The sequence below is a fragment of the Homo sapiens genome, chromosome 9 (assembly GCF_000001405.40).
Source record: "Homo sapiens chromosome 9, GRCh38.p14 Primary Assembly".
NCBI classification, from domain to species: domain Eukaryota; kingdom Metazoa; phylum Chordata; class Mammalia; order Primates; family Hominidae; genus Homo; species Homo sapiens.
Window position 1 is genome coordinate 31,272,333 of NC_000009.12, and position 22,928 is coordinate 31,295,260.

General features: G+C 35.3%; 3 annotated features.

Annotated features, from left to right (window-relative positions):
• Positions 282 to 1,481: an enhancer, noted in NCBI's record as "BRD4-independent group 4 enhancer chr9:31272612-31273811 (GRCh37/hg19 assembly coordinates)". NCBI's record gives its function as "activates an origin of replication core promoter dependent on BRD2, P300/CBP, MED14 and CDK7 cofactors, and independent of BRD4, by STARR-seq in HCT116 cells {active_cell/tissue: HCT116}" and the evidence as "EXISTENCE:reporter gene assay evidence [ECO:0000049][PMID:35650434]".
• Positions 2,481 to 3,414: an enhancer, noted in NCBI's record as "NANOG-H3K27ac hESC enhancer chr9:31274811-31275744 (GRCh37/hg19 assembly coordinates)". NCBI's record gives its function as "activates a minimal SCP1, AML or CMV promoter by ChIP-STARR-seq in naive H9 embryonic stem cells {active_cell/tissue: H9 hESC(naive)}" and the evidence as "EXISTENCE:reporter gene assay evidence [ECO:0000049][PMID:30033119]".
• Positions 22,065 to 22,573: an enhancer, noted in NCBI's record as "H3K27ac-H3K4me1 hESC enhancer chr9:31294395-31294903 (GRCh37/hg19 assembly coordinates)". NCBI's record gives its function as "activates a minimal SCP1, AML or CMV promoter by ChIP-STARR-seq in naive H9 embryonic stem cells {active_cell/tissue: H9 hESC(naive)}" and the evidence as "EXISTENCE:reporter gene assay evidence [ECO:0000049][PMID:30033119]".

A 22,928-nucleotide genomic window follows, 5' to 3' on the forward strand; every position in this document is an offset into this window, starting at 1 on the left:
AAAAAAAAAAAAAAAAAGAATAAAAAGTCATGATCAGGAAAGAATAGTAAGGGTGTGGCCAATGAACTGCTAAGGAGATTAAAATGGATAAAAGATAGCTTGGTCCTATTCATTAAAACAAAGAAAGAATAACCGTGAAGTCATTTCAGTAAATCTAGAACATTGAGGGCAAGGTTTCCAGAGAGGTGTCCACAGGAACTTAGAATTTGCTGCCCTGCACTGCCTTAGGACTCTGCTCCTAGAATTCTGGTGCAGTACTCCTTGGTCACTCAAGCTATGGTCTAGAGGTCTCAAACCACTACTCCAGAAGGTGTGGCTTGGACTACTGGTCTAGCAGGTACAATCTGTAAACCTTAGCAGTGTCATAATGGTGCTAATTCTGCAAGTACACAGAATGCAAGAGCTGTGGGCTAATGGTCGTCTCCACCTAGATTTCAAAGAATGTTTTTGAAGCCTTGGGGCCCAGGTGAGACTTGTCTCAGGGTTGAAGCCATCATAGAGATGCCTCACTAAAGTAATGCCCCACAGGATCACAAGAGCAAGATGTTAGATATGAGTCCTAAATTTCTTTTCAAAGAATCAGTATGTTCAATTCTTTGCCTTCTACTTTTAAATTTAACTTCCTCATAAAGCAACCTTTTTTGATTACCTGCTCCACCCTGACTCATTTCAATCACCAGCTCCACCCTGACTCATTCCAATCACCTGCTCCACCCTGACTCATTCCAATCATCTGCTCCACCCTGACTCATTCCAATCACCTGCTCCACCCTGACTCATTCCAATTACCTGCTCTATCATAACCACTCACCCTGTCACTCTCTTTAAATTAGCCAGTGGGAATCAGTTTAACCTGTGCGGTCTAACCCTAGCCAATAGGGGAACGACACAGCAGCAAGGGCCACATGTATCAAGGATAAGAACCCCTTCTCCCTTGTCCAAGTGTGTGCTCACCATTGCTCCATCTGTAAGGGGGCACCCTTCTATAGAAGTAACTTGCCTTGCTGAGGACTAAAAAGAAAATTTTATATTCGAGTGCTATTTCTTTTGTGGCACCAAAACTTTATTTATGACAATTACCACTGCAGAGTCCTCACAGCTAATACCTAGCAGGGCCATGGGAGTGGGGGATCCCCTGGCACCCCCAAACTGTAGGATCTCCAGCATACAACTCTAGCCTGGAAGAGCTGCAAACATAAGACTCCAGCCGTCCAGAGCTACTGGATAGACTGAGCCCAATGAAACCATAAGGGCAGGGCTGCCTGAAGCCTTAGTGGTCCAACCCCCACCCCAGTGTTCATGGAACCTGGAATATGGAGCCAAAGGAAATTATTCTCCAGCTTTAAACACTTACTATTGTTTTTCCTCTTGGATTTTGGACTTCCTTGGGAACAGCCACCCTTTTCTTCTTTCCTATTTCTCTCTTTTGTGATGTGATTGTCTTTCCTATGCCTGTTCCATCATTGTATTTTAGAAGTAATTTGTTTACTTTCGCAGGCATACAGCTGAAGAGAAATTTGCCGCAGATGAATTATGCCTTGTGTCTCACGTAAACATGATTTAGATGAGAATTTGAAATTTAGACTTTTGAGTTGGTGCTGGGACAAGTTAAGATTTGGGGGCTGTTGGGATGGAATAATAATTTTTTCACGAAAAAATATACATTAATACATCTATTTGGGGATGGAATGCTATAAGGTGTCTCCCGAAAGTTAAGTGTTGGCAACTTTATTCCCAATGCAACAGTTTTGAAAAGTGGGATCTTTAAGAGGTGATTAGGTCATGAGGGCTCTTCACTTATAAAAAAATTAATGTTGACATCTTGAGAGTGGGTTTATTACCGTGGAAGAGGGTTTGTTATCATGAGAGTGGATTTGTTATGAAGGCAAGTCTAGCCCCCTCTTTGTTTTGACTGCTCACATTCTCTTGCCTTTTACCTTCTGCCATGGGATGATGCAGCAAGAAGGTACTCACTAGATGTAACCCCTCAACCTTGGACTTTCTAGTTCCAGAACCATGAGTCAAATGGATTTATTTCCATTATAAATTAGCCAATATGTTGTATTCTGATACGGTAGCATTAAAAAGAATAAAACAACAGAAAATATTGTTTCTAGTTTAAAATGCTTTCCAATGACATTCCTTGAAGTCACGGGATTTTGTCATGGGAACTTAAAAGTTATCTCTATTGACACCAATGCAGATAAGATTTCAAAGAACTCCTTTCAAGTAGAAATTAAATCAATTGGAAGAACCTTATCTTTCAGTATGTTAAGATGTTTCAAAAGCCTTATAAATAATAAATAGGATGTTAATTTAAAATTTAAAATAATAAGTTTTTGTACAAACACAAAAACTGAAAATCTTTCAGTTTAATTCTTCTTTGAGAGAACTCAACTCAATCACTCACTGTGAGATTACTAAGATTACTACTTTGACTAATGGTTATTAAGGCAAAGGGAGCTATGAATTAGAAATGCCACATATACTTCAGTTCCAATGAAGGATATTAGAGAGAGGAAACATAACATTAATAGTATTTGTGGACAAATTGAGTTCTGCCTTTTATTTATTTTACTCATTTTGTATATATTTTTCTAACTGCTCATGTACTCTGTTATGTATTGTTGTTTGTGCAAAAAATAATTTAAAAATGTATTAGAACAAAAGAAAAATGCAAAAATAGCCATAGAGATAAGTGTAAGACTATGAAAAGATATTATATTACTAATATCTCAAATAAGTTGAGGCCAAATATCTATATATTGAGGACAAAAATACAATACTAGTGGTAATAAACAACTAGCCTGATTATAAAATAGATGATAAAAAGTCATTAGCCTAACTTCAGTTTTCAGAGCCAGGAATTTGAGTGATTGAGATGTAAGTCTCAAATTTCAAGGTTTATTGAGCCAGCTTGAGGGCACACCCTTAAAAAACAAGAATCACAGGTGGATCTGTGGGTTGGTTTTTGTTTTGTTTTGTTTTGTTTGTTTGTTTTCCCAAAGAGGTTCTCAGGATGTTTAGGTATTGCACATTTTCCTTAAAAAGGTGGGGAGTGGGGGAACAGCAGTGAGAGGAATTATTACACACCTGTGAGATGTTAATCAGTGCCCAGTAAATCTACACTTTAAATAAGATAAAGTGAACATTTGAAGAAAAAGGGAAGAAACAGGTGTCTTAGAGAGGAGCAAAGGAATGATTAATCTCGTCTTTGTTAAGTACCTGAGAAGACAAACTAGCAATCCACATTATCAACATGATCAGTGTGGAGTCCTTTGAAAGTGCTGATTTCTTTTTAGCCCTTAGGGAAGAAAGCCTAATGACAGTAAGGGAGGAGGTGGAATGAGTGTCAGAACTATGAAAGCATGGCATTGAACTCATTCCAAAGTTTCTCTGGGATTCCTTGGCCAAGAGGGGATCTGTTCAGTTAGGTTAATGCTCAGAATTTTATTTTTATGTGTGGGTGTGTCCACAACATTTACCCTAAGGGGGTTTTAAAGTGAGAGTGATCATTTTTGTCTCTAACAAAAGACTGAAGGTAAACTGCTTTTCATTGTTGACAAAGGCTAGATTCATAAAATTTAAAGATTAAATGAGCAAATATTATAGCTGACAACTTTCTGACAGTTACAGAAACTGAGCAGAAATTTTTGTCCTTTTTCCCCATGAGTTGAAGAAATATGCCCAGTGAAGACCTGAGGTTTCCTTGAAATTAAAATGGTAGTTCATTCAACACGTGAGAGAATTCATAAGAACTCCCCAAAGTTGTTTCCTGGAATCATGATTAATATAATTTTTATCAAAAAGTGCTTAAATCTTCTTTGATTAAATATTCATCATAGTTACGGGGTAAGAGTCCCAGCAATTTTTACATGAAGTTTCTGGATTGGACCATAAAAAGTATGCTGAGTGAAGATCTTTTACAAGCTTAATATTTAATAGAATTAGACAAATAGAATGAGTTCCATAAAGTACAATTAAATTAAAGGGAATTTAGAGGAAAAGCTTCTAGGTCCGTGTACAATTCACAAAAAGTATATTTGAAGTGGTCTCTAAGGAATGGGTAAATTTATCAGCAGATAAAGACAGGATAGTTTTATATGACAGAAAAGGAAATAGTGTGAGTTCAGGAAAGTCTAGGGTAAAGTAAAATTAAGCCATGTGCTTAAGGAGGTACATTTGAGCCACACATGGAAAGCTTTGATTTCAAGGCTGAGGAGTTTATAGTATTGAGGTCAATTAGTAAATACATCAATTTTATTCGAACTCTTTCTCTACTAAAAATACAAAAACTAGCCGGGCGTGTTGGCGGGTGCCTGTAGTCCCAGTTACTCTGGAGGCTGAGACAGAAGAATCGCTTGAACCTGGGAGGCAGAGGTTGCAGTGAGCAGAGATGGCACCACTGCACTCCAGCCTGGGCGACAGCACGAGACTCTGTCTCAAAAAAAAAAAAAAAAAAAAAATTCTCTCACTCTTAAGTATACTTTATTTTCTTTTGTTTTCATTATAAAGATATAGATATATATATATATGCCATTTTAATCACTTTAAGTGCACAATATCATGCCATTAATTAATACATATTTTGTATAACCATCATCACTTTTTCCAAAATTTTTTATTACCTCAAACAGAAACTGCATATGCATTAAGCAATAACTCCCCCTTTTCCTTTCCTAGCCTCTGGTAACATTTAATCTACTGTATCTCTCTATGAATTTTCCTATTTTACATATTTACATATTTTCCTATTTACATATTTCATATAAATAAAATTATACAATATCACAGCCTATATCAGAATTTCATTCCCTTTTAATGATAATAATATTCTGTGTATATGTATGTGTGTGTGTGCATATATATACACATATATATACATATATATTCACATTTAAGGGAATCTCCATTAGAGTAAATGACGATTTCTTTGCAGAAAACTTACAGGCCAAGAGAGAATGCTATGATATATTTATATTTATATATTAAATATTTAATATTAAAAATATTTAAATATTTAAAATGCTGGGGGGAAAACTGCCAGCCAAGGATTATACAAAGAAAAGTTATTCTTCATAAACGAAGGAGAAATAAAATTTTTCCCAGACAAGCAAAAGCTAGGGGAATTCGTTACCACTAAACTAACTCTACAAGAAATGCCTAAGGGAGTTCTACAAGTGGAAGCAAAAGGATGATATCTACTGTCATGAAAACAAATAAAAGTACACAGTCACTGGTAGAGTAAACATGCAAATGAAGAAGAGAAAAAACTTCAATATTACCACTACAGAAAGGTATCAAACTGCAATAATAATAATCAGAGAGAAAGACAGGAACAAAGAACATAAAAAACTATAATCAATTAATAAATTACAGGAATAAGCCTTCACATATTAATAATAAATTACATGTAAATGGATTAAACTTTCCACTTAAAATATCTATAGTGACTAAATAAATTTTTTAAATTGCCCAACTATATGCTGCCTACAAAAAAAATCTCACTTGGAAAGAAACACAGACTGAACATAAAGGTATGAAAAAAATACTTCATACAAGCTGAAAAAAAAGTAAGCAGGGGTAGTTATATCAGACAAACTGACGTTAAGTCAACAACAGTTAAAAGTCAAAGAAGATCATTATATTATATTAATAAGGGGATCAATTTAGCAAGAGGATATAACAATTCTAAATATACATGCACCCAATACCAGAGCACCCAGATATATAAAGCAAATATTATCAGATGTAAAAGAATAGATATTTGGAAGGCTGAGGCAGGAGGATCACCTGAGCCCAGGAGTTCGAGACCAGCATCAGCAACATAGTGAGACCACAGTTCTAAAAAAAATTTAATTTAATTTAATTTTAAAAAAGAGATAGAATTCAATCCAATAATAGTTGGGAACTTCAACACCCCAGTCTCAGCATTAGACAGATCATATAGACAGAAAATTAGCAATGAATCATTATATTTAAACTGCACCTTACACTAAGTGGACCTAACAGACATTTATGAACATTTCATCCAGTAGCTACAGATTATACATTCTACTCATCAGAACATGGATACTCAAGGATAAACTATATGTTAGGACAAAAAACAAGTCTCAACATATTTGTAAAAATTGATGTCATATCAAATATCTTCTCAAACCACAATGGAATAAAACTAGAAATAAAAAACAAGTGGAACTTTGGAAACAGTAGCAATACATGGAAATTTAAAAATATGCTCCTGAATGACCATTGGGCTAAGAAAGAAAGAAAGAAGAAAACTTTCAAAAAATCTTGAAACAAATGAAAATAGAAATACAACATACTCAAACCTCTGGGATACAACAAAAGCAGTGCTAAGCAGAAAGTTTATAGCAATAAATGCCTAATCAAAAAAGGAGGTGGTTTTCAAATAAACAAACTAATGATGAATCTTAAAGAAAAAAAAAAACCAAGAACAATGCAAACCCCAAAACAGAAGAAAAAATAATAACGTTCAGAGCAGCACTAAATAAAATGGAGACTAAAAAATCAAAAAGATAAACAATGTGACAAGTTGTTTTTTTAATAAGAAACAAAATTGATAAACCACCACTTCTTACACTGTCTTCCTGTTTTCCTTTAGGTTCCTTTAACTGTTGAGCATATTTAAGCCAATTGATTTAAAGTCTTTGTGTATTAAATCCAGTGTCTGGGTCTCCTCAGGAATAGTCTTAATTTCCTTTTTTTCGAAGGAATCATATGCCACTGTTTGTGTACATGATTTGAATTATTTTTGAAAAGAGATGTTTGAAAAATATCATGTAGGAACTCTGGAAATCAGATTCTCCCTTTCCTTAACATTTCCTGTGCTTGAACTTTGTGTGTGTGTGTGTGTGTGTGTGTGTTTTCCAAACTGTTTTTATAAAGACTGCATTTCTTATTATTTGTGGTTATTGAAGTCCCTTTTCATTTAGCTCATGATAACCAATGATTTGACAGAGATTTCCATGAATTCCAAGCATTTCAGCCAACAGTGAAGCCGAGTATCTCCTCAGACCTTTTCTGAACATGAGTCCTGTCCAGAGCATGTATGTGGCTTTCTAAATTTCCTAGTATTTACAGGCACTTTTAAATGTCTTAACTTCCCAAAGGAATTCTCTCCCCTGCTTTTTCTCCCAGTTTTTAGGTCGTCTATTTTGTTTCAACTGTAATTTTTTACCCCAAGTGGCTGAGAGATTTTTATTCACCATAAAATGTTTCAAAACATTGCCCACCAGTTTTCCAACCTGATTGATTGGGTTCTGAGTTACACAAAACAGATGAGCACATTTTGTCAGTCGTTCAGGCAGCATCAAGACAGGTTCGAATAAGCACACACAATAATTTGTAAATAAGATCTGCTACATTTCCTCTGGATCAGACATCCACACTGATAACATGGGCTATTGTTCTCAAGACTATCACCAAGTCAGAGAGGAATTGGGAGAATATCAAGTAAAAATGTCACAGAACTTTATTTTCATTTTTATGTTGTCCTTTTTCAATTCAGTGTTTGCTTGGTTGCTGCAAAGCTTTGAATGTGTTCCAGAGTTCTAATAAAGTTCCTTCTCATACTTTCTGTTTGGTTTTCAATGCTTCTGTGGTAGAGATATTTTCTGAAGTTGGCTACTCTGCCCTTGTGCTGATGTCACTCTCTTAAGTCTATTTTGTAATCATAATAAGAGCAAAAATTGCTGAAAAAGATAAATGAGAAAATTTCCTAATGAAGCCATGTTGCCTATGTATTAAGCAATGTTCAATAATAGAGCCCCTATTTTGTTTTTATTTTGGTTTTTTTGGTACCAAAAAAAGATAACTAAGAACAAAAAAGATGAGAAACACAGAGACAAGATACTAATCACAAGTTGCTGGTCAACTTGATGTTAATTATTTCCCTATTATTAATAGGAAAACATTGCCCACCAATTTTCCAACTTAATTGATTGGGTTCTCTGTTATTATTATTGTTATTATTATTATTATTATTATTATTATTATTATTATTAGGGAAATGATTTAAAGGCAAACACAACTCCAAAGACTCAGAATTTTAAAACATTAATATGATTCAGAGACTTTGCAGAATTGAAATATTTAAATAATTTAGAATAATCACTACTTAGCTAAGAGACTAACTTAAGCTAAGAGACCTAACTAACAAATACACTGGCTATTACATTCCCACCTACAAAAGATCCTTCTGGTGTAATTTTAAATGTTTGATTGTGAATATCAAGTGTTGTGTCACTCACTTTTCAAAAAGGTCATTGTGAGGATTCGGTGGATCTCTTGTGGAGTAGAGTAACCACAGACTTTGATATGCATGGAATATCTAGATCACTGATCACCACTCAACTTTAAATTATGACGATCCGTTACCCTGAAATTTCTTTCTTTCTCTTCATGCAGTCACATTTGAGATGCAATAGTTTCGGTACCCTGGCTTATACAATTGTTAAATAATCCTATTTTTCTCAGTGACATAGCATAAAAGTGGATGTGAATTGGTTTAAGAAATCTTATTTTTCAAGACAAGGTCAGCGCATGTAAAGAGTGATCATATTAATTTCAAATTGTTCTTAAAGCAAAGATGAGGATGTAATATTCCATGGGGGCCTTCTTCATATGAAAACTTTTTTATTAAGCCACTTATTAAGAGATCTAAAAGAAGGTTCATATGTGATTCTTTGAATTCTATGTGTCATATGAATAGCCAAAAGTCTAATTAAAGCCATTCAAAAATAAATGTAATATATTTATGTACACATATCTTTTCTTTTAGCCAATTTCTGCTCAGGATTTTTCAATATAAGTATTATGGGGATTATAGGTGACCCAATTTTTATTGTATAGAATTATTCTAGGCATTACAAGAAGTTTGGTATCTCTGGCCCCTGCCTATATAAAATGACAGTAGTAAACACCTGCCTCATAACAGTTTGCTTCACCCTGGCTCTGGCACTGGGACAACCCGAACAATTCTAGTACATTTCCAGTCTTCCCCCTCGTGAAAAGTACTAATGGCTTGACTTTAAATGTGCAATAATTGCTGCTCTTTTTCTCTCTTTCTGTCTCTCCACCTCCCTTCTTAAAATTTATTTATCAGCTCCACCCATATCTATCACTTAATTGAACCTTTATTATTGTTCACAAATTATGAAATCTATTTTAAAAGAAACAGATTGTGAGGATTTACTATGTGTTAGACATTTGGACTGAAAAATGTCTGTTCTACATAGACTCTCAGATTGCTAAGAAACAAATAATTAGCATATCTTATTGCTCTATATTGATAAGATATAAAATTATGCCTATTTAAAAAGTGGTCAAAATTATTGGTTGATATTTATTTTATTGAGTCCTGTTTAGAAATTTGCAAAAGGAAATTAATGTCTGTGTAAATATAATTACTCCTTTTCTCTGTGTATGCTTGTGTGTGTGTACAAACAAACGTTTTAACCAGTGTTCAGATATGTGTTATCACTTAGCTGTTGCTTCATAATAAATCATCTTAAAGCTTATTGGTCAGCTACATGGTTCTTCTTATTTGTATTGATTTCAACTGACCTTTCTCATAATTGTGTAATCAGCTGGCTGGTCAGTTGGTGCTGGCAAGTATAGGATGGTCTTAACACCTGTTCGGTAGTGGGCTGTGTGTTTACTATGGCAACAGCAATTACAGGGCAGCACTTCTTTCATCATTCATCAGTATAGCATAAGCTAGTTGTAACAAGTTTCCCAAAAAGGGATGAAACAAGCAAATGTTCTTAAGGGGTAAATTCAGAATGAAAATATAATAAAGTCCTTTAAATTATATTGGCAAAAGTAAGTTACAAGGTCAGCCCAAATTCAAGAATTGGAAAAACAGATTTTGTCTCTTAATGAGAGGAAATGCAAAATTGCATTAGAAGGTTGGTGGACTTAGAACTAGATGAAGAATTTTATCTTTTTGCAATCCATATGCTACATTATGGTTTTTGCTTATTTTGGTCCAGAAAGCCTTATGGGTAGAAAAATAAATGTACCTTGGATGATACTGATTAGGTTCCAACATCTAGTGTCCTTCTAAACTGAGGGTATTGCTGTTTGTTATAAGGATGATGAAATTAAAGTTCCTTAACTTCACTGTACATTCTAATATTTTTCTATACAGAAAAAGTAAATTGCATTACAGTAGACAACTTGAAATTTTCTGGAAGGCATATGAGTACTTTTCCAATTTCTAAATTAGTAAGGCTCAGATTAGCACATAAAACAAATTTCAGAGTAACTTTTGCACCCTAACATGCCATTTCCAATGTACATAGCTCATAAGAAAAAATAATTTTCATTATTTCACATGTAAATTTATCAAAAATGTACATGTATCACTAGGATAAAATGCGTCATAAGGGCCAACAAAAATATATTGGGGTCAGATACCATTACATCTTTAAGTAAGTTCCAAGGCTAAATGAGATATTCTGAAATATTAAGATTTCTTCCAACATTAATGATCATCACCTTTAAGCCATGTCAGCAGTTGGAGTAGTCAATAAGAAGGAAACTAAAAAGAATATATTATTAAAATTAATGATTGTCAAAGGGGGTAGGTTCTAAGATGATGGATAGGGGACATTGGAATTTGGAGGAGGACTTCTTGTTCACCTTAAACCAATTGAGATGAGTTTTAGAAATCTTATTGGAAATATGTATTTCTTAGACTTTTATGAAAGAAAATAGACTAGATAGAGAAAAAGAGAATCCCAACACCCAAGTGCAGATTTTTAAACCTGAAATAATGGTGAACTATAACAGGGGCAAAGCTTTAGCCTTAAAAAAATTCAGAAACGTGATTATTTTTATTGTTTAAGCTAGATACCTTACTTTCTTAAATGAGACTGTTCTTTTGACTAAAGTAATGTATTATTGAGAAAGCTTTGTAATGTGCCTGTGTTTTATACAGCGGGGAACAAATAACATTGAAAGAGGATTTGAAGAAACTATGGGAGATTAGGAAAACAAAATTGCTTTATGTTTTTATTATAACAATTATAGTTCATTTAATAAAAATGGTCAATTTTTCACAATGACACATGACTTTTTTTTTGTTTTTTTTATTTTTCTGTGACTTTTTTTTGTTTTTTTATTTTTCTGTGACTTTTTTTTTTAATCACAGCTGAATGTTGGGTTCTGTTATGGACATAATTTTGTCTTCCTTAAATTCATTGGTTAAAGCCCAAACCCTTAATGTGACTGTATTTGGAGAAAGGGGCTTTTAAGGAGGACATTAAGGTTAACTGAGATCATAAGGAGAGGGCACTAATTCAATAAGGACAGTGTCCTTATAAAAAGAGGAAGACCCCAGAGATTTCTCTCTTTCCACACACCCACAGAGTAGAGGCTGTGTATAAACATAGGGAGAAGTTGCCATCTACTAGCTGAAGAGAGAAGACTCACCAGAGACCAACCCTAATGTCACCATGATCTTTGACTTCTAATCTTCACATCTGTGAGAAGATACGTGTTTGCTATTTAAGACACTCTGTCTATGGTATTTTGTTATGGCAACCCAAGAAAACTAATACAGATTCCTTTTTGGGTCTATATTTTATGGATAAAGTTATTTTCTTTTATATCATATCATAGAAAGGATTTTAAGGGCACGGTTGATTTGATTAGTTGGATATTATGTGTTAACTAAGTCGTCATAATAAGTAAATTACTTCTACACAAAATTCTAGTCACTCTGGGCAGGCAGGGTGGTTCATGGTTGTAATCTCAGCACTTTGGAAGCCCAAAGCAGAATGACACTTAAGCACAGGAGTTCAACGTTAAAGTGACTTATGATCACACGACTACACTCCAGCTAGGGTGACAGAGAAAGACCTAATTTCTATAAAAAAATAAAATAACTAAAACTCTAGTTATGCAGATGATTTAATATTTAGGTGAAAATGAGAGACAGAGGGAGAAAGATAGAGACAGCACTATGTATCAAGCTGTCACATAGCTTTATAGATATTTGCAAACATTACGTGAATGTTAAATATCAAAGTATTAATGATCCACTGTATCTGACATACTGATGTATATTTAGCAATTAAGTTAATTTCTGTTTCTTTGTTTTTACATAATTACAAATGATTTAATGTCAGAATTTCCTGAGGATTTTTCCTAATCAACATGGTTTAAATTTATCTCAGTATCTCAATATTTACTTGAGAAGATGTTCATTGAGACACCAATTAAAATTGATGCTCTATCTGCCTGTATATTCTAACTGCCAGATGTTTACATTGCTGAAATTTCCCAGTAGTACAATATAGTCTAAAACGCCTGGAGAATTTTTTAAAGAGGTTTAAATTCCATTGTAAAGCTATTATGAATAAAATTGAAAAGTAACCAATACTCAATCTTATCGTTTCTTTCCTTCATTATGTATGAAATAAATATTTACTAGTTAGATAAATCATCTGGTAAAACTATACTCATATTTATTACATTTTGCTATTATTTCCCCAATAACTATGGAAAATCATTTTGACATCTGTTGGATGTTTAGGAATTTGTGTGTGAAAGGCCATGTAGAATATCTCAAATAATGCACAATTCTTTTGTATCACATATAATGTCTATATAGTTTCTCTTTGCATATTGGCAATTCAAAATTTTTTACGTCAGACAACAACAGAAGTTTCTGAAAAATTGCAGAAAATTACCTCTTATGTTAACTATATGATAAAGTCTGTAATAATATTTGATTCTTATACTATTCTTCTGGATCAGTGAGGCTGACTACATAATTTGTCACCTTCGTCTAACAATGACTATTAATTTTCACTAGTCTAGAGTGCTATGATGTTATACGCCACTGCCAATACTATAAAATATCCCACACTGGTGATTTATACAAAATACATGTGGATTTATTCCTTATTTAATTTAGTACGGTGTTTAGTCCCACGTCTAAATATATTCCTAAATCACCATTACCCCATTACCTCAACTGCTCCTGTCTCTTAAATCAACCTCCCCCACCAAATCTACCATTATACATTATAATAAAACTAAGACAAATATTCCACTTTGCTTCATTGACAAAATTGGTTTGACTTTATTGTGAATTGAAGGAATTGAGCCAATTACAAAATTATTTTTATTTGTATATATGAAGATTCATGATTATTTATTCATAACCTCTAGAACATTAAGAAGTGAATGAAATATGAGTTATCATGAATTCTCAGAACACTCGTTTTCTAACTTTCCCAAATAATAAAATTAAAGCTATTATATATTCTGCAAGAGGTAATTTAGAATGTTATAAAATATTAATTTCCTCACTGATTTGAACATTTTAAATATCAGAATTACTAATTTAATATTTATGAAAACATTTTAAATTCTGAGATAAGAATATACATATATAAAGAAATATGACTTTGAACATAGTTAATCTAATATTAGTTTCCTTTTTTATAGATGACAAAACTGAACCTTAGAGAATTTATCAGTTTCTTATTTTAGTACAACAGCAAGTTAAAATTTGAAATAGTGATGTTGAGTATAAAATTACCTCAATCTCTAGTTATGTGCATATAAATATATATATATATAATATTTTTCTCAATGAAGTATATTTTCAATAAAGAACAATATATTTATCCCTTTAAAGCATAAATTTAATCATGGAACTCTATGCTCAAAAGTTTCCAATGGGCCAGGTGCAGTGGCTCATGCCTGTAATCCAGCACGTTGGGAGGCCGAGGCAGGCAGATCACAAGGTCAGGAGTTCGAGATCAGCCTGGCCAACATAGTAAAACCTCATCTCTACTAAAAATACAAAAATTAACTGGGTGTGGTGGCGGGCACCTGTAGTCCCCGCTACTCGGGAGGCTGAGGCAGGAGAATCGCTTGAACCCAGGAGGTGGAGATTGCAGTGAGCCGAGATCGCGCCACTGCACTCCAGCCTGGCAACAGAGATGGACTCCATCTCAAAAAAGGTTAAATAAAATAAAATAAAATAAAAAGTTTCAAATGCAATGGAGGGACTGTTACAGTTCTGTCAGTCATTTTTACCCATTCTCATGCTGAGATTTGAGAATAAAACCATACAAGATATTTTTAATCAAAATAAATATTGAATGAGTCATAGAATATCAAGGGAATTTAGAGTTCTAGGGAAATGATGTGAAAGGACAACTCAAAAGGATGATTCTAACATTTGGAGTCACTCTATGAAGCCACATATAGATTCCAGAAGAGACTGATAAGACATTAAAAAACCTAAGTGAAACTTTTGATTTATAAACTCATATGGATAAAATTAAATTTCAAGTCCCACTAAGAAGTGGTATTTCAGGTAAAACTTCCAGGTTTTGCATTGTTTCCCTGAGGAAAGAAACTCTAGGAACAAGAGTCAACTGAAAAATTCTAAGCCCTCAGGTGACCTGAAGAAAACTTCTAATAAAATAAAAATGACATGAAAATATTTTCTCTGGCCTAGTTTCTCGCAAATTGTAAACAAAACAATTACTCATCTGAAGATGGAAAAATTATCCAGATCTTTTAAGTTATTCTATAATTTTTAATATACAATGTCTGCCATATATATCAAAAACAACCAGTCAAAAACAGGTACAAAAGGCAACAATATGAACAAAATCCAACAAAAACCGAAGACATTAGAAATGGAGCTAGAGAAGATCCAGATAATGATGTTATCAGACATAAGCAAAAACAAAACAAAAACCTCCCATATTTAATATTTTCAAATAAGATAGAAGATAAAGAATTTCAATAAACAATGGGAACTATTAACTAGCAATATGTAAATTAGAGAAACAAAACATGTAATAACTGAATTTAGGAATTTTATTGATGGTTTTAACAGCAGATTATACAAAGCTGAGGTAATAATTAGTGAATTGGAGTATAAAATATAAAAAATAGACATAAACCTACAAAATAAAAAGTGAAATACATGTGTATGTGTCTTCATAGTAGAATGTTTATTGCAGCACTATTCACAATAGCAAAGACTTGGAACCAACCCAAATGACCATCAATGATAGGCTGGATAAAGAAAATGTGGCACATATATACCAGGGAATACTATGCAACCATAAAAAAGGATGAGTTCATGTGCTTTGCAGGGATATGGACGAAGCTGGAAACCATCATTCTCAGCAAACTAGCACAGGAACAGAAAACCAAACACCACAGGTTCTCCCTCATAAGTGAGAGTTGAACGATAAGAACACATGGACGCAGGGAGGGGAACATCACACACTGGGGCCTGTCAGGAGGTGGGGATCTAGGGGAGGGATAGCATTAGGAGAAATACCTAATATAGATGATGGGTTGATGGGTGCAGCAAACTACCATGGCACATGTATATCTATGAAACTAACCTGCACATTCTGCACATTTATCCCAGAAGTTAAAGTACACATACTTAAAAAAAGTGAAATACATACATTATCAGAGGAAACAAAAGAAAATCTGTGCAATTGTCAAAAGCAGACAGAACATTAAAAACATATTCAAATATATTCTTCAGGATAAAGAAAATGGCATTTGGAGTTTCAGAAAATAAGCAAATAAAGGACAAATACGTGAATAAATCTGAATGTAAACAATATAACTGTAAAACAACAATGATAATAATTTTATTATGAAAATAGACTGTATAAAACAGTGATGTTATGAATATAGAATGTCTAAATGTTTCAACTGTTTAAAAAACCATATGGTGTATGTAATGAATCTATAAATAGCAATACTTATATTGATAAGACAACACTATAAAAGTCACAAAAAGGGAAAGTGGATTTAATTGTCCTAAGGATTATGAATTGTGTGGGAAATGATTAAAGTTCTAATTAATATTAGACATCAAGATGTAAGGGATCTATGACAAAATTTATAGAAAATTTACTAAAATAAAAGTTGATAATGTATAACTATTAAGCTAATAGATGGTAATAAACTGAATTAAAAATAACACCAATCAAGTCAAAAAAAAAGAAGAGAAAAAATGTAACAGAACAGGCAAGACAAACAGAAAGCAAGAAATAATATGATAGGTTAAAAAACAAACACACAAACATATCCCAGGAGACTTTCCTCTTTTCTGTCCCCATGTACAGGAATGCAGGGTGTGCTGAAGTCCAAATCTCAACAGAAAGAGGTAGAGAAGCCATAGAAGAAATCAGGCTCCTAAACTGACCATGAAGCAGCAGTTGCCTGATAGTGGGGAACGGAAAATAATTTATATACAGTATATCCATTTGGTGCAGGTCTGTTGGTCCTTTTAGGAGGCTAACAGCAGGGCAGGAAGACCAGTACAACAGCTCCATGCTCTTAGATTCCATAAATGCTAAAAGGAGGCTTGCAATCCTGTCCTCAAATTATTCCAAGATGATACCAAATTGAATCTAAATAAAGCAACAGAAATGTCCAGATCAGTGGAAAGAAAGATGAAGCTGACTCAAATCACCTATTCCCAATACACCACGGGCCTGAAAGAAGACGTAAGTATTTTTTGTGGGGGAAAAAAAAATTATTTATTTCAGTCAATGTTTTTGTCATGCAACGTCTGCCATTCAGTCACAAAGTAAGAGACGTGAAGAAGTGAGAAACTAGAACTCACTGACAAGAGAGGTACCAGAAAACAAACAAACTCATAAATGGCTCAGATGTTTGAAGGGTCAATGAGGGAATTTAAGTCTAATACATAGGTTAGATGAACTTGGGGGAAAGGCAGATAATATGGGTTAAGAGATGGAAATTTTCAGTCTAGAGATGGAAATTTTTTAATGGAAACATGAGAAATAAAAAATGAGATAACATAAATGAAAAATTAATTATTGACTTAGCAGACTGGACTCATAACCAAAAGAAATTATGAGTCAACAGCAATTATTCAAACTAAAACACAAATTAGAAAAAAAAAAGAAGAAAGGGAAATGGCATACAGGTTCTGTGAAATATCAAACACTTAATAATATGTGTAATTAGAGTTCCAAAAGGAGAAGAGACAGAATAAAGCAGAAGAAATTGTTGAAGATACAATAGCCATAGATATTTCTAAAGCAAAGAAAGACATCAACCCACAGGTCTACAAAGCTTAGCAATAACTTTTCATGCTTATCCTATAAAACTTCATCATGAATTTTTTTACTTTTTATTATATAATATTAATTAGTACTTTCATACTTCCCATATAATTTATGAACTTACCTCACTTATATCTAGTTATTCATCCTGATGCATGTAGTATTTTTAATAACATTATTATTGTTTTATAAAGTGAATATTCATAACATAATTGCATACAGTTATATTTTATATAGTCATATTTTATAGTCAATATTCATAAGATTATTTTATAAAATCAATAATCATAATGTTATCTTATGGATTTAATATTAAATTTAGATCTTCCCACATATATGCCTTTTTCTTATTATTCATTTCTTCCTGAAATTCTGAATAATTAGAATAAAGTTTCTTCATTCTGGAAAGTAGCTTTTGTACTCCTTTCAGTGTTGATCTGCTTTTGATAATCTTACAGATTTTTTTGCTTGTTTTCCAATAATATTTTTATTTTTAGAGTGTGTTGCTCTCCATTATATGTTGGCATATTGAAGCTACTATTACAAGAAGTGACAATAGAATCTAGTAGTTAGTAATGTTTATTATTATTAACAACATTCGTTGTACTTGAATTTGTTTTATCAGGAAATTTGGTGCCTTGGTTTCCCCCAAATCACTTCCTTACTGATTTATTTTGTCTTCCTTTTCAAACATGTGCTTTGTTTTTACTGTGTTCAACAACACATAGTATAAAACTTACCATCTTGATTTTTCAGAAACAAGATGGCCAACTACACACAGCTAGGAAGCACTGCTCCCACTGAGAGAGACCATGGAATAAATCGACTTACTCTAAACAGAACTTGGAGGGAAAACACAGAGAGGTGACACAGACATCCAGGAAAAAGAGGGAAAGCTAGGAAGTTTGCACAGGGTTGCTGAATGACAAGGCTTATTCCGGCCACTGAAGGGCTCCCAGGGAAGGGGTGAGTGAAAGGATGGTGGGGCAGACCACTCTAGTGGCAGACCTCTTGGATCCTAGCTACAAGAGATCCCATGAGCCTCATACACAGTTGAAATAGCAGGTATATCTGCTCAGACAATAGGCAGACAGAGCTCCAACCTGTATGGATCCCATGGGGTTTTGCATGCAGGACAGCTGCCGTGGAATGCTGCCATAGGTGCCTATTCCCCAAGGCTCCTCATCTTCCCCCGAGTTGCTCTAACCCAAACTGACCACAAAACCAAGAGAGAACAGGGTTGACTTTCAAAAAGAACTGGGGCATATCTGTTCTGCAGGCTCTCCTGCTGGCTAGCCTCTCCTAGGGTCCCTTCCTGGCCACTCCTGCAGGAATGTGTACAGACTGCAGCCCCCATTGTCCAGCCTTGGTGCTTTCTGGGAGCCCCACCTAAGTACTTCCCGGTGGCCTGGGAACACATCCAATCCCCAGTGCAACTGGTACACAACCCCAAGGAGCTGGAGGATGAAGCCACTGGTGGGTCCCAATGCCCCAGGGCAGCAACTTGCAGTTCAGGAGTGCTGAGCAGAGATCTGTGGCTAGAAGTTGATCAGAGGAGGAGCCCCGACTCTCAGAACACCGAGAGGGGTGACACAGGTGGACTTATGGGCCAGTGCAGGAGCTAGTGAGCTTGTGGACCTTCCTGTACAGGGCTGGTCTAGGAAGAGTGTGGCCTGTATGCCAGCCGTAGCCTCTGCCAGAGGGAGTTCCATGGCCCAAAACCCATAACAAAGAAAATGTGGGTGTAGCGCCAGTGATCAGGGGTGGCTCTCCAAGGCCCATGAAGGGACCTAGTGAGAGAATTCTCTCTCTCTCCTCTATCACCACAGAGCACTGCTGCAAATGTGCTAAAATACAAAAGAGCTATGTGGCTGAGTAAGGGCGCATCTGCTAGCCATTACTCTAAGGCACCACCTAACAGTTTATCTCCTGGCTCTCAGTCCAAATTATAACACAAAAGTATTTTGCCAATATACATCACCTGTGAAACCCACGACAAGAATGTAGCCACCACAAAGATCCTGTACAAAGTCATGACCCTCTCAAAACACCCAGAAATAAAAGCCAATTGACTGTACTCAATTTACACCCCAGTTAAAGGAACACTAAACCTCTCATATCAGAAAATCAGCACAAGAAATCTAGAAATTCAGAAAGTCAGACTGTTCCCTTACCTTCAAACAAGCACACTAGCTCCCCAACAATGGTTTCAAACCAGATTGAAATGGTTAAAATTACAGACAGAGAATTTAGAATCTGAATGGCAAGGAAGCTCATTGAGATTCAGAATGTTGAAACCCAATACAAGGAATCCAGTAAAATAATTCAAGATCTGAAAGATAAAATAGCCATTTTAAGAAAGAACAGAATAATTTCTGGCATGGAAAAATTCACTATAAGAATTTTATTTTACTGAAATTGGATGTATTAATAGCAGAATAGACCATCCTGAGGAAAGAATATCCAAGCTCAAAGACCAGTTTTTTGGGTCAATTTAGTGAGACAAAAATTTTAAGAAGAATTTTAAAAAATAAACAAAACATCCAAAAATATGGGATTATGTAAAGAGAATAAACCTATGACTCATTGGCATTCTTGAGAAAGACAGAGAATAAGCAACTAAGAAAATATATTTGAGGATACAGTCCATGAAGATTTTCCCAATATCACTAGAGGTTGACATGCAAATTCAACAAATACAGAAAACCACTGTGAGATGATACCATAGCAGGTGACCATCTGTAAGGCACATAGTCATCAGCTACACATAGGTCAATGCAAAGAAAAAAAATCTAAAGGCAGCTAGAGTGAAAGGGTAGGTCACTTACAAAGGGAACCCTATCAGGCTAACAGTGGACCTCCCAGCAGAAACTATACAAGCCAGAAAACATTGAAGGCCCATTTTCAGCAACCTTAAAGAAAATATATTCCAACCAAGAATTTTGTATCCCACCAAACTAAGCTTCATAAGTGAAGGAGAGATCAAATTATTTTCAAACAAACAAATGCTAATGGAATTCCTTACCACTAGACCAGCCTTAAACATGGACATAAAACAACAATAACTTCTACCACAAAAGCACACATAAACACATAGTCCACAGACACTATGAAGCAACTACACAATCAAGTCTGCAAAACAACCAGCTAACAAGATGATGACACGTTCAAAATGTCACATATCAATACTAACTGTGAATGTAAACAGTATAAAAGCCCCACCTAAAAGGCACAGAGTGGCATGTTGGATAAAAAGATAAGAGCCAACTGTCTGCCATCTTTAAAAGACCCATCTCACGTGTACTGACACCCACCCACACAAAGAAAAAGGATCTATCATGCAAATGGAAAACAGAAAAGAGCAGGAGTTGCAGTTGCTATGAGATAAAAGAGGCTTTAAACCAAAAACAATCAAGAAAAATAAGAAGGGCATTACATAATAAATACAGGGTTCAATTCAACAAGAATACTTAACTAACCTTATACTATATGCACCCAACCTTGGAGCACCCAGATTCATAAATCAAGTTCTTTACCTTACGAAAACTTAGACAGCTACTATTACATTTGAGATTAGGTTAAGAAAAAGCAAAATAACTAAAACAGCTACACAATAATTGTGGGAGACTTCAAAACCCCACTGACAGCTTTAGACAGATTATCAAGGCAAAAAACTAATGAAGAAATTCTGGACTTAAACTCAACACTTGGCCAATCTGACCTAACAGACATCTACAGAATACTCAACCCAATAACCACAAAATAAACATTCTTCTCATCTGCACAAGGAATATGTTTTAATATCAATCACATGCTCAGTTATAGAAAGTCTCAATAAATTCAAAAAAGGTGAAATCATATCAGGCACATTTTTGCACCACAGTGCAAAAAAAAAAAAAAAAAAAAAAAGAGTAGAAACCAATACATCTTTCCAAACAATGCAAATACATAGAAATTAAACAAACTGCTCCTGAATAACTCTTGGGTGAACAAGAAAATTAAGGCAGAAATAAAAAAAATTTGAAATTAATGAAAATATAGACACAATTCTCCAAAATGTTTGGGATGCAGCTAAAGAAGTATTTAGGTAAAAATTTATAGCTCTCAACATCTTCATCAAGAAGTTATAAAGATTGCCAATTAACAATATAACATCACACCTAAAGAAACTAGAAACAAACAAATAAACCAATTCCAAAACTGAGAAGAAAAGAAATAGATAAAATCAGAGAAGAGCTGACCAAAATACTGACAAAATAAATCTATGCCAAAGATCAGTGAAACCAAGAGTTGGTTCTTCAAAAGAATAAACAAAGATTAATAACCAACTCATTAGATTAACAAAGAAAAAAGGGAAGATCCAAATAAGTACAATCAAACATGAAAAAGATGACATTATGATTCTTCCCACAGAAATACAAAAGATCCTCAGAGACAATTATGACCACTTCTATGCACACAAGGAAGAAAATCTAGAGGAAATTGATACATTCCTGGAAACATGCAATCTTTCAACAACGATCTAGGATGATAATGAAAACCTGAATAAACCAATAACCTCTTCTAAAATTGAATCAGTAATTTAAAACATCTAACATTGAAAAAAAGTTGGGGGAGGAGCCAAGATGGCCAAATAGGAACAGCTCCAGTCTACAGCTCCCAGCGTGAGCGACGCAGAAGACGGGTGATTTCTGCATTTCCATCTGAGGTACCAGGTTCATCTCACTAGGGAGTGCCAGACAGTGGGCGCAGGTCAGTGGGTGCACGCACCGTGTGCGAGCCCAAGCAGGGCGAGGCATTGCCTCACTTGGGAAGCACAAGGGGTCAGGGAGTTCCCTTTCCGAGTCAAAGAAAGGGGTGAAGGACGCACCTGGAAAATCGGGTCACTCCCACCCGAATATTGCGCTTTTCGGACCAGCTTAAAAAACGGCGCACCAAGAGATTATATCCCGCACCTGGCTCGGAGGGTCCTACGCCCACGGAGTCTCGCTGATTGCTAGCACAGCAGTCTGAGATCAAACTGCAAGGCGGCAGCGAGGCTGGGGGAGGGGCGCCCGCCATTGCCCAGGCTTGCTTAGGTAAACAAAGCAGCCAGGAAGCTCGAACTGGGTGGAGCCCACCACAGCTCAAGGAGGCCTGCCTGCCTCTGTAGGCTCCACCTCTGGGGGCAGGGCACAGACAAACAAAAAGACAGCAGTAACCTCTGCAGACTTAAATGTCCCTGTCTGACAGCTTTGAAGAGAGCTGTGGTTCTCCCAGCACACAGCTGGAGATCTGAGAATGGGCAGACTGCTTCCTCAAGTGGGTCCCTGACCCCTGACCCCCGAGCAGCTAACTGAGAGGCACCCCCCAGCAGGGGCACACTGACACCTCACACAGCAGGGTATTTCAAAAGACCTGCAGCTGAGGGTGCTGTCTGTTAGAAGGAAAACTAACAAACAGAAAGGACATCCACACCAAAAACCCATCTGTACATCACCATCATCAAAGACCAAAAGTACATAAAACCACAAAGATGGGGAAAAAACAGAACAGAAAAACTGGAAACTCTAAAACACAGAGCGCCTCTCCTCCTCCAAAGGAACGCAATTCCTCACCAGCAGTGGAACAAAGCTGGATGGAGAATGACTTTGACGAGCTGAGAGAAGAAGACTTCAGACGATCAAATTACTCTGAGCTACGGGAGGACATTCAAACCAAAGGCAAAGAAGTTGAAAACTTTGAAAAAACTTTAGAAGAATGTATAACTAGAATAACCAATACAGAGAAGTGCTTAAAGGAGCTGATGGAGCTGAAAACCAAGGC